Genomic DNA, 12,768 nt, shown 5'->3' with positions numbered 1-12,768 from the left:
TCTAGGCTTTCTCTTCCTGGTTTTTTCTCAGGATCCCTCCTCAGGGCCTTTGCATACACTGTTTCCATTGCTAGAAACCCCTGCCCCCTCCTTTTTACCTGGCTAACTCTACTCACCTTTCCAGTCTCTGGTTAAATGTTACTCCTCGGAGAGGCCTTCTCTGTTACTCCTTCCCCCAAGAAATGTTATGTCTCCTACATTGTTCTTTCTCATTACATTTTGATGATTTAATTTTTAGCTGGTACCATATGTTTTTTACATTTTTGTTTCTCTCTTTTCCACGTGGTTTTGGAACCTTCATGAGATCAGTAACTGGCTTTATTTTGTTCAGTGTCTCTTTCAGTGCCTTCCTCTCAATAGGGGCTCAGTAACCATTTGTTAAGTGAATGAATGAAATCAAGTGGGGCATCTAAAACTGAATGAGAATCTTGAGCAAAGGCTCATTGACATCAACCTGAATAATGTGTGTGTTAGTGGCAGGTTCTAAGTTGTAAGGAGAATCCAGGCCCTGCCTATCCAGGAAGGGGAGAAGCTCAATGTGGGTAAGGATAAAGGCATTGCTGGTTACATACAAAAAGATGAAACATTCATTGAGGCAAACAGAGGTAATAAATTCCTGGCTCTTGACAGCATATTTGATTTTTTGATTCACCCTTTTGATTCATGCAGCTAATGTGAAATGCCATACCTGGGCTTTCCTCTTGCAGAAAGCTACCTTAATTCTGGAGAGGTGGCTCTACATCTTAAGAACAACCTTCTCTACCCCATGCCTACTAAATGTGATTTTTCTTGGGTTTAGCTTTCTGAGCCTCCCAGTACCATGAGAATGATAAGACATCAATGAACCTGTGATAAGGGATCAGAACAGACATGAGCCTGCTCTTAGTTAACATCTTAGGCCAAAGTATACTAGAAATCTTCATGTTTTACATCAAGTCCAACATAGCTCACCAGGACTAGGAGACCACATAGGATCTGGGAGCAAATTCTTATAAAAGAAGGATAATCATAGCTCTAATCATATGTCAGGCACTGTGTTAAGCACTATACAGGCATGTTATAATTAAATCCTGACAACAATATCCTGTGACATAGGTCCTATTATTATTTCTGTTTTATTGAGGAGAAAAGTTAGGTTTTGTGAGATGAGATTGGGTAAGTTAGGTGTATCAGTTCATTTTCACACTGCTGATAAAGACATACCCGAGACTGGGAAAAAAAAGAGGTTTAATGGGCTTAAAACTCCACATGGCTGGGAGGCCCTTCAATCATGGCAGAAGGCAAGGAGGAGCAAGTCATGTCTTACATGGATGGGGGCAGGCAAAGAGAGAGAGAGCTTGTGCAGGGAAACTCCTGTTTTTTAAAACCATCAGATCTTGTGTGACTCATTCACTATCATGAGAACAGTGCAGGAAAGACCTGCCCCCATAATTCGATCAACTCCCACTGGGTTCCTCCCACAACACAAGGGAACTGTGGTAGTTACAATTCAAGATGAGATTTAGGTGGGGACCCAGCCAAACCATATCATTAGGCTTCCACAGACTGAGAGTAGTGAAACTGATACAGGGCAGATGAGCCCCAAAATTAGGGCTTAGCCTGGGAGGGTTCTTGGCTTCCTCTAGGAAAGAATTCAAGAGCTAGCCTGTGGTGTTAGACAGCAACTTCTATTGAAGTGGCAGTGTACAGCAGCTGCAGAGGTACTGCTCCTTGTGGAGGAGGGCTACTGCATAGGCAGTGTGCTGAATAGCAGCTCAGAGGCAGTTCTGCAGTCATATTTATACCCACTTTTAATTATATGCAAATTAAGGGGCAGATTATCCAAACATTTCTAGATAAAGGGTAACTTCTGGGTCATCAAGTCATTGCCATGGAAAGGGACAAGTGCTGCCATGGCAATGGTAAACTGACATGGCATGCTGGTGGGCATGTCTTATGGAAAGTTGATTCCACCCTGTCCTGGTTTTAGCTAGTCCTCAATTTTTTTCAGTATCTGAGCTCTGTCTCTGAAGTCCAGTCCCACCTCCTGAGTTGAGTCTCACTTTCTACTTCCAACCCATTGAGCTTCATAGCATGAGTGCTTAGCCTACTACATATCTCTCTGTGGAATTTGCAGTCACATTAGGCAGTTGCTTGAAGATTCTGGGTGTGAGATCCCAGCCACATTTTCCTCTCTCTCTAGACCTGAGAAACAAGATCACCAACTGGTTCACAGAGGGTGGGTGGGTTGAGAGGGGTACATTTTTAAGATTGGTTGTAGAGGATTTTGAGTGATAAGCTAAGAAATCTGCATTTCACTCTTGAGAAAATAGATCGATGGTACTGGCATAAAAACAGACACATACACCAATGGAACAGGTTAGAGAACGCAGAAATAAAGCCACACACCTACAACCATCTGATCTTCAACAAAATTGACAATAACAAACAATGGGTAAAGAGTCCCTATTTAATAAAAGTGCTAAGATAACTGGCTAGCCATATACAGAAGATTGAAACTGGACCCCTTACTTTTACCATATACAAAATTAATTCAAGACAGATTGAAGATTAAAATGTGAAACGTGACACTATAAAAACTCTAGAATAAACCTAGGAAATACCACTGTGGAAATAGGCCCTGGTAAAGATTTAGTGATAATGACTCTAAAAACAATTACAACAAAAACAAAAATTGACAAGTGGGGCTTAATTAAATGAAAGAGTTTCTGTACAGCAAAAGAAACTATCAACAGAGTAAACAGACAACCTACAGAATGGGATAAAATATTTGCAACTATGCATCTGACAAAAGCCTAATACCTAGACTCTATGAAGAATTTAAGCAAATCAACAAGCAAAAAACAAATAATCCACCAACTAAAAAATGGGCAAAGGAGATGAACAGACACTTCTCAAAAGAAGACATACACATGGCCAACAGCATATGAAAAAAAATGCTCATTACTAATCATTAGAGAAATGCAAATCAAAACCACAATGAGATACTATCCCATACCAGTCAGAATGGCCATTACTTAAAATAACAGATGCTGGTGAGGTTGCAGAGATAAGGAAATCCTTACAATCTGCTGGTAGGAATGTAAATTAGTTTGTGCACTATGGATAGCAGTTGTAAATTTCTCAAAGAGCTTAGAACTATCATTTGACCCAGCAATTCTATTAATAGGTATATATGCAAAGGAATATAAATCATTCTACCAGAAAGACACATACGCATGTGTTCATTGCAGCACTACTCACAATAGTAAGGACACAGATACCCATCAACAGTGGACTGGATAAAGAAAATGTGGTACATATATACCATGGAATACTATGCAGCCATAAAAAAGAATAAAATCTTTTCCTTTGCAGCAACATGGATGCAGCTGGAGGCCATTATCCTAAGTGAATTAACAGGAACAGAGAACTGAATACCGCCATGTTCTCACTTATAAGTGAGACCTAAACAGAGTTCACATGGACACAAAGAAGGGAACAATAGATACCGGGGCCTACTTGAAGGTGGAGAGTAGGAGGAGGGTGAGAATCAAAAAACTACATATCTGATACTATGCTCACTAACTGGGTGATGAAATAATTTGTACACCAAACCCCAGCCACATACAATTTACCCATGCAGTAAACCTGCACATGTATCCCCTGAACCTAAAATAAAAATTGGAAGTAAACAAAAATAAAAATGGAAAATGGCAATTATTAAAAAAAAAAAGAAAAAGAAAAAGAAAATGGAACCAAAGGGATTGTTTGAATGGCATGCAAGAGAACAAAGGGACAGAGAGTGGCAATTGGGGGTTACCAGATGCAGAAATCTGTAGTATTACATAGTTCAGGGAGCCTGAACCAAGGTTGTGGTGATGGAGATGGACTGAAGAGTCATTTTAAGGCAGATTTGATAGGGCTTGGCAACTGACTGGTAGGGAAAGAGCTTCCTGTTGTCACTTAATGGTGAAATACATATCCCTACATTCCCAGCCACAGACTTCATCTCAGCAAATACACTTTTAATGATTGGTCGGTATTTACTTAACATCTTCACTTTACCAAGAAATATGAATTGGCTTCATCTTTGAAGAAGCATGAGTTCCTGGGCCTCTCTGACTTATAAGATTGGTGTTGAGATACAGTTATTGATGTGAAAGAATAAAACTGCATACGTATGATTCTATATGTGTGCTGCTTCTGTCACACTAGTACTTATGAGGCCAGATTAATTTTATTTTTATGTCTTTACGACGTAACATTATGACTTTATTTATTTAAGGTTTATCTTCTACCAACTTCTCCAAAATATTGCGGTGACAAATTAAGAAATAGAGAAAAGGTAAATTAAATGTAAAGACAGATTTAAACAAATTTACACGAGCAAATAATAAATATGCCTTCTGAGTTGAGCTAATTTGCTAACCCAGCACATAACAAATTGTTTATGCTATATGTCTACATCTGTATCTATACATCTAAATGTAATTGTTGATTTTGTTTTCATTATTGAACAAATGAATGAATTGACACACCTGCTAGGATGAGGAACTGAATTTGATTCTGAGTTTTCTCATAAATAGGGGGAAAAGGAAAATAAAGAATATAATATTAAAATGTAAATATAAATTTACAGCCACATGATGTGACTAAAGAGAAGATACATTTATCCCAACGGACAGGCTTTTGGCACAGCAAAGAATTCAGTGAGGAATTTGTTTTAATGGACTTTTGAATAATAAATCTTAAAGTAAATAATGTTAATTCCTCCTGCTGCTTCCTCCTCCAACACGTTTGTTTGACTGGTGTGTATTTTTGTTGTTGTGTGCTTAAAATTTTGGGTGTAACCAAAGCAGGGATGCTGAATCATCACCTTAGGGTAGAAGGGCTCAGTAGGGCAGGAGAAGCAGTGTAGGCTGGTGGTTAATACAAGGGGCTTTAGCAGTGAGGAACTCACTTCTTTACCTGTGAAATGGAGATAGTAATAATAATAATAGTAAATAGTATCTACTTCACATGGATACTGTGAGGATTAAGGGAGATAACAATGTAAATGTGCTTGGCATGGCAAGTGTTTGAGAAGTGACAGCCACACAGTCAGACCTCCTCTGATTTGGAGCTATCACTTCTTAAACACTGACACAGAGCAAGCATTTAAGAAGTGACCGCCAGCTGGGCATGGTCACTCATGCCTGTAATTCCAGCACTTTGGGAGGCTGAAGCGGGTGGATCATGAGGTAAGGAGTTCAAGACCAGCTTGACCAACATGGTGACACCTGGTCTCTACAAAAAATCAAAAATTAGCTGGGCGTGGTGGTGTGCACCTGTAATCCCAGCTACTTAGGAGGCTGAGGTAGGAGAATCACTTGAACCCAGGAGGCGGAGGTTGCAGTGAGCCGAGATCACACCATTGCACTCCAGCTTGGGCAACACAGCAAGACTCTGTCTCAAAATAATAATAATAATAATAAAAGTGACAGCCCCAAATCAGAGGGGGTCTGACTCCCTGCTGGGGATATCGTGCATTGTTTCTCTCCCTTCCCCTGTTTATGCCCTGTTAAAGAATGAGGTGTGAGTGGCACCACTGGTAATTAAGGATTTTTGTTTGTTTTTCTCTGGAGCTTTGTTTCCTCCGAATGCAAAAAGACTGGGACTTCAATAGTTCCAAATGACAATAAAGCTCAGACAAATATGCTTTTATCTATTTCCCATTGCATGGTGTCCTGCCAGATTTAATTTGAGTAAATCTTAAGTCCTCGTTTAGATTGCAAGTTTCTCCAGGGAAAAGAGAGTGACTTCTCTTCTGTTACCTCTACTGCCCACCTGAATTCCTCCAACGCTTATATTTGGAGCAGCCCAGAATGTTCTAGGCCATGAGACAGAGCAGTGAACAAGCAAAGTTTCTGTTCTCATGAAGCTCAGCTTTCAGTGAGAGGAACAGATACAGCAAGTAATCAAATGAATAAACATGACAGGTTCAGATAATAAGTGTTATGCAGAAAATTAAAAAGAGCCAAGTGACAGAAGACAACTGGGAGTTCATTGATTTATGGATCAGGGAAGGATATTCAAGGAGATAGTACATGGACGAAGCTTTGAGAATAGTGCAAGGAAACCAGCGAAGCTGCCATCCAGAGGAGAGTGTTCCAGACAGAGAAAGAACAACGACAAAGACCTTGAGGTTGAATAAGTGTTCAGAGACTAGGAAGATGGCCTGGGTGGTTGTTATGTGGTAAGGAGAAGGGGAATGGGATCAGCTGAGACCAGAACCCAGAGCTGGTCTAGGAAGGAAACTCTATAAACACCAACAAAGAGATTGTACTGCTAAAAGAAGTTCCTCAGGGCAGGGCCAAGTTCTAATCTTCATGATGCTTCTGGATACCTCCTGTATTTAGAGAGATTTATCTACGTGATGGCTACTGTTAAATCTTGAAAGAAATAACTCCCAATACTATTTTCAAAACATCATCTAACTTGGTTCTCAAATTAACCTTGGGAAGGAAGTTATTGGGATTCCTGCTTTATGAGTGACTGATCTACAATTTAGAGAATTTGACAAATGTAGATTTCAAGTTGTTATGTTAGAATTTGTCTCGGCCTTCTTACTCCAGGCCCTGGGTTTCTTCCACAGCATCAAAGATGCTTCTCAATTCTTTGGAATCCTCTTCTATCATTTAAGACCAGTCTTATACGTGGGTGTACAGAAACATGGGGAATAGGTATCAATACTTTGATTGAATTCATTCAATATGCACTGACGACACTGCCATCACCATTACCACCAGAATAGTATTAACAATAGTTACAATTTATTTAGCGCCTACTTTTTCAAGAAACATGCTAAGCACTTGGAGTACACCATTAGATTTCCTTTGCCCAATAATCCTAAGAAGTAGACATAATTATCACCTTCACTTTATAGATGACAATAAAATGACTGCTCAGAAAGTTTAAGTAAACTTGTCCAAGGTCATACAGCAGGGAGCTGGAATTAATGTAAACTGGAGGCTGGACAACTCTGATGTTTACCTCAACTACATGAACTAGATTAGCCACTGGGGGCCATGTGATGGAATAAGACTGAGTTTATGATCTTGAAATGGTCATACTGTATATGGGGATGTCTCTCTGAAGGGAGCTCAGCCTCTGTTCGCCTGCCCAGCCTGCCCCGGCAAAGTGAGAACAGAGCTTGGTTCTGTTTGACAACTCGGCAAGTTAGCATCTATGGCTGTAAAGGCAGGAGTGGAGGAGGAGCTGAGCTGGAGGAAGCCAAGCAGCACCACATATCAGCACCAGCATCTAGGGAGGGAGAGGGTGAGAATCAAGGACCTTGTGAACAGTTAAGAGGCTCCACCTTGCCATGGGAGACAAGTGGAAATTCTGATTTCCCCAGACCAGACTGTTGAACCACAGTCCAGGCTGTGGTTATTTATATTCCCCTAACAGCCTTGTTTACACAACCTGCCTGGATGCAAATCAGCGCATGGAGGCAGTGGAGGCGGCGAGGTGTGCAGCCGGAAGGGACTGGGGGATTGGTTTTAGTCATGTAGTGTTAACACAGCCACACATGACTGCCCACACTTCTGCAGCTGAGGGAGAGAATGAGAACATGTAGTCCCCAGGACACTTGCCCAGTCCTGCCTGAGCGAGAGATAATGCAAAGAGCGGAGTGGACTTTGATTATCCCAATCCCTTCCTTCACAATCCGCTTCCTTTTCCAGCCCCATCACTCACCCCATCTGCCCCCCTCCCCTCCTGCGTGCACCCTCCATTCCAGTCACTCCTGGCTCTGAATACATCATGCTCCTTCATGGGTTTGTGCTCTGGCTCAGACAGTTTCCTGTGCCCAGAACGCCCTTTCTCTCTCTCTTTTACAACGTGTGTTATGTGTAACTGATGGGGTGCCAGACAGTGTTAGGTAGTACACAGACAGAATTCTTATTTTATGCTAATATTTATTATGTTAGAACTGAATCAATTTAGACAAAGACACTGAATCTATAATAGTACAGGTAGAATATAGATAGGGCAAATAACTTGATGATAGAGTAGAGGTTCTTGCCATTTGGGAAACAATGCTCTTATTTAATTGAACATGGCCTGGCTTTTATAACGTGAGAGACAGGACTGGATTCTGTTTTGATCTGCAGGGCCCTCTCCGACCTTTGAGGTTCACACGTCTGGTTGTATGACCTTCCTTTGCTCTCCGTGCAGGCCATCTGTTGCCTCCTAATGCATGCCCCGTTGTCCCATTTGCCCCACAGAATTCTATCTTTTTCTGAAGCCCAAATTCTGCTGTCACCAGTGAAACATTCCAACTCTTCAAGAAAAACCCCTCCAAAGACCAGCCTCATCTCTCCACTCTCTCTCTCCCTCTCTCCTTCCCTTTCCCTACCTTCCTTCCTACCTCCTGCCCTCATCCCTAACCTCTAGCTACCACTGTTTTGTTTTTTGTTTTTTGTTTTTTTTTCGAGATGAGTTTGCGCTCTTGTTGCCCAGGCTGAAGTGCAATGGCGAATTCTCGGCTCACTGCAACCTCCGCCTCCTGGGTTCAAACGATTCTCCTGTCTCAACCTCCCGAGTAGCTGGGATTATAGGCATGCGCCACCATGCCTGGCTAATTTTGTAATTTTAGTAGAGACAGGGTTTCTCCATGTTGGTCAGGCTCATCTCGAACTCCCGACTTCAGGTGATCTGCCTGCCTTGGCCTCCCAAAGTGCTAGGATTACAGGCGTGAGCCACTATGCCCGGCCCACTATTTTTTATTTTACAATTTTTTCAGTTTGTGTTATATGAATGGAACCATAAAGTATGTAATTTAGAGGGGTTTTTTTTTTCTCAGCATAACTCCCTTGATATCCATTCAAATTGTTTGTTCCTTTTCATTGCTAAGTAGTATTCTATGGTATGGCTGTACTATAAATTTTTTTTTTTTTTGTATATTTTTGTAGAGACGGGGTTTTGCCATGTTGCCTAGGCTGGTCTGGAACTCCTGGTCTCAAGCAATCCACCCACCTCGCCTTCTAAAGTGCTAGGATTATAGGTGTGAGCCACCGCGCCCAGTGCACAATTTGCTTAAAGGACTTATTAAAAGGACATTTGGGTTGTTTCCAGGGCTTGGTCTATTATGAGTAAAGCTGCTATGAACATTCATGCACAGGTTTTTATGTAAATATAAGTTTTCCTTCCTTTGAGATAAATGTTTTAGTTCAATCGCTGAGTTGCATGGTAAGTGTGTGATTAATTTTATAGGAAGGTACCATACTCGTTTCCAAAGTGGCTGTACAGTTTTCATCCCAAGCAGCAAAGTACGAGTGATCTGGTTTCTTCACATCCTTGCCAGAATTTTATGTAATCACTATTTTTTATTACAGTCCTTCTTTTAAGTGTGTAGGGTTATCTCATCGTGGATTTACTTTACATTTCCTTAATAGTTAATGATACTAAATGTCTTTTCGTGTGCTTTTCATAGACATTTCACTAAACAGTCTATGTCCCTTGCCAATTTTGTAATTGAATGTGTCTTGTTTTGTCTTAACTATCTTGTTGTAAGAGTTCTTTATACGTTCTAGATACAAATCCTTTGTCAGTGCATGATTTGCAAATATTTTCTCCCAGTCTTTTACAGAGCAAATTAAAAAAAAATTAAGATCCAGCTTATCAATGTTTCCTTTATCTGTATCAAGCTTTTTTTTTTAATCTAGTCTAAGTACTGCTTGCCTAGCCTTAGTTCACAAATATTTTTTTTCTTATTTATTTATGAAAATTTTATAGTTTTTTTTTTTTTTTTTTTTTTTTTTTTTGAGATGAAGTCTTGCTGTGTTGCCCAGGCTGGAGTGCAGTGGTGGGATCTCGGCTCACTGCAACCTCTGCCTCCCGGGTTCAGGCGATTCTCCTGCCTCAGCTTCTGGAGTAGCTGGGGCTACAGGCATGTACTACCATGCCCGGCTAATATTTTTGTATTGTTAGTAGAGACAGGTTTTCACCATATTGGTCATGCTGGTCTCAACTGATCCATTTTGGGTTAATTTCTGTATAAGGTTTATCCCCCCTACCCCCCTCCCGTGGATATCCAATGACTGTAACACTATTTGTTGAAAAGCCTATTCATACTCCATTAAATTGTTTTTGCACCTTGTAAAAAATCTGTTGGATATATTTGGGTAGGTTTATTTGTGAGTTCTCTGTTCTGTTTTATTAATGTGTCTTCCTCCACCAATACCACACTCCACACTGTCTCAATTACTGTAGCTAGTAAGTCTTAACATTGAATGGAATGATATCTCACTTTATTCTTTGTTAAGAATGTTTTAGTTATTCTAGGTTCTGTGCCTTTCCATGTAAATTTTAGGATAAGCTTGTTTATATCTACAAAAAGGCTTGCTGAGATCTTGATAGGAATTGCCTTAAATCTGCATATCAATTTGGGGAAAATTAACATATTACTATGCCGAGTTTTTCAAAAGAACACAGTACATCTTTATTTATTTAGGTCTTCCTTGATTTCTTTCAGCAGCATTTTGTAATTTTAAGCATATAGATTCTGTACATGTTTTATTAGATTTATACTTAATTTATTTTCTTTGGAGAAATTGTAAATAGTATTGTATTCTTAATTTGTATTCATATGTTCATTGTTTATATATGAAAATATGAATGATTTTGTGTGTTGATCTTATCTCCTGTGATTTTACTGAACTCACTTATTACCTCAAGTTTTTGTGGAATCCTTAGGATTTTCTATGTACAGTCATGTCATTTACAAATAGGAATAATTTTATTTATTTATTTCTAATTTATATGCCTTTGATTTTTTTTTCTTGCCTTATTGCACTGGTTAGAACTTTCAGTTCTGTTTGAATAAGCTTTGTGGAAGTTGACATTTTCTTCTTCCCATCTTAGAGGCAAAGCATTCAATATTTCACCATTATTTATGATTTCTATAGGATTTTGTAGATGTTTCTTTATGAAGTTGAGAGCATTCCCCCATATGCCTATTTTTCTGGGATTTTTTTTTTTTTAGTCAGGAATGAGTCATGGATTTTGCCAAATGCTTTTTCTGCATCAATTGATATGCTCATATGATATTTCTTCTTTAGCCTGTCAGTATGATGGGTTATACTGATTGATTTTTGAGTTTGGGTCCAATCTTGCTTATATGGAATAAATCCCACTTGGTCATGCTTTATAATTTCTTTCATACATTTCCAGGTATAATTTGCTAAGAATTTGTGGATTTTGTGTATAAGCTTATGAGAGATATTGGTCTTGTAGTTTTCTTTTCTTGTACAATCTTTGTTTGGTTTTGTTACCAGAGTAATACTAGCCTCTTAAAATGCTTTTCCTCTGCTATTTTCTGTCAAATATTAAGTAAAGTTGATGTTAATTCTTTTTAAAATTTTTGGAATGATTCTAAAGTGAAACCATCTAGGCATGAATATTTCTCTTGGGGTTCTTTTAAAATATAAATTAAATTTCTTTAATGATTATAGGATGAATCGAATTATCTCTTTCATCTTGGTTTAGTTTTGCTGGTTTATGGTTTTTGAGGAACTCATCCATTAATTCTAAATTGTCAATTTTCATTTTTGTTTTTGGAGCAAAAATTGTTGCTCTTCTTGACAGATGTCTATATCCTAAAATATGTAAAACAAAAGCAAACACAAATACAACACATAGTTTTTCATGTGGATTTTCTAACTTAGCTCTACTGCCCTGATCTCTATCCAATTCCTTATTCATGGTTGATGGTTTGGTTTTCTAGAACAGTGGTTCTCAGCCACTCTTACTTTTGCCCCCACCCCAGGGGACTTTGGCAATGTCTGGAGACATTTTTGGTTGTCACAACTAAAGTAATGGTGCTATTGGCATTTAATAGGTGGAGGCTACAGATGCTGCTAAACATATTACAATGCGTAGGACAATCTCGACAACAAAGAGTGATCTGGGTTAAAATGTCAATAGTGCAGAAGTCGAGAAATCCTGCTCTGCCCTTGCTCCTCCTTGTGTGTTCTGCAGACCAGCAACATCTGCATCATCTGTGAGCTTGTTAGAAATGAGAATCACAAGTCTCACCCTAGACTTACTATCGCTGATTCTATAGTTTACAAAATTCCCAGACAATTCATATGTACATTAAAATTTGAGAAGTACTGCCCTGGGATAATTACTTCTTGTATGAGTTTCTTATTGTAACAAATTATCACAAATTTAGTGGATTCAAGTGACATGAGTTATTATGATTACCGTTCTGGAGGTTAAAATTCTGAAGTGGGTCTCAGTGATCTACAATTAAGGTACTAAAAAGGCCATGTTTCTGTGTTCCAGGCTCTAGGTGAGAATCCATGTCCTTGCCCTTTACAGCTTCTAGAGGCTGCCTGAATTCTTTGGCTCATGGTCCCCTTCTTCTGTCTCCAAAGGCAGTGACATTTGGCCAAGTCTTTCTCATGCTTGTATCTCTTTGGGTCTGGCTTTTCTGCCTCCCTCCTGTACATTTAATGATCCTTAAATGTGACTTCGCTGGGCTCATCTGGATAGGCCAGGCTATTCTCTTTATTTTATGGTCTGTTGATTAGGAAGCCTAATTCCATATACTACCTTAATGTCCCTTTCCCATTCAAGGTAACATATTCACAGGTTCCAGGGATTAGGTTGTGTTATCTATTGAAAAATCATTATTCTGCCTCAAACACTCCCCAAGTAGACTGAGCATTAGAGTCACTCGGAGAGCTCTTTATTTAGCTCTCAGGCTCTAGCCATATCCAACTGAAACATTTTCTGAGG

General features: G+C 39.4%; 2 annotated features.

Moving 5' to 3' along the window:
* Positions 7,153-7,202: an enhancer, noted in NCBI's record as "active region_28891". NCBI's record gives its function as "activates an Ori minimal core promoter by ATAC-STARR-seq in GM12878 lymphoblastoid cells {active_cell/tissue: GM12878}" and the evidence as "EXISTENCE:reporter gene assay evidence [ECO:0000049][PMID:35858748]".
* Positions 7,223-7,282: an enhancer, noted in NCBI's record as "active region_28890". NCBI's record gives its function as "activates an Ori minimal core promoter by ATAC-STARR-seq in GM12878 lymphoblastoid cells {active_cell/tissue: GM12878}" and the evidence as "EXISTENCE:reporter gene assay evidence [ECO:0000049][PMID:35858748]".

The sequence above is a fragment of the Homo sapiens genome, chromosome 9, assembly GCF_000001405.40.
Source record: "Homo sapiens chromosome 9, GRCh38.p14 Primary Assembly".
In the NCBI taxonomy this organism is placed as follows: Eukaryota; Metazoa; Chordata; class Mammalia; order Primates; family Hominidae; genus Homo; species Homo sapiens.
Note: the sequence above shows the minus strand (reverse complement) of the source record. Positions and strands in the feature narration are given on the sequence as shown.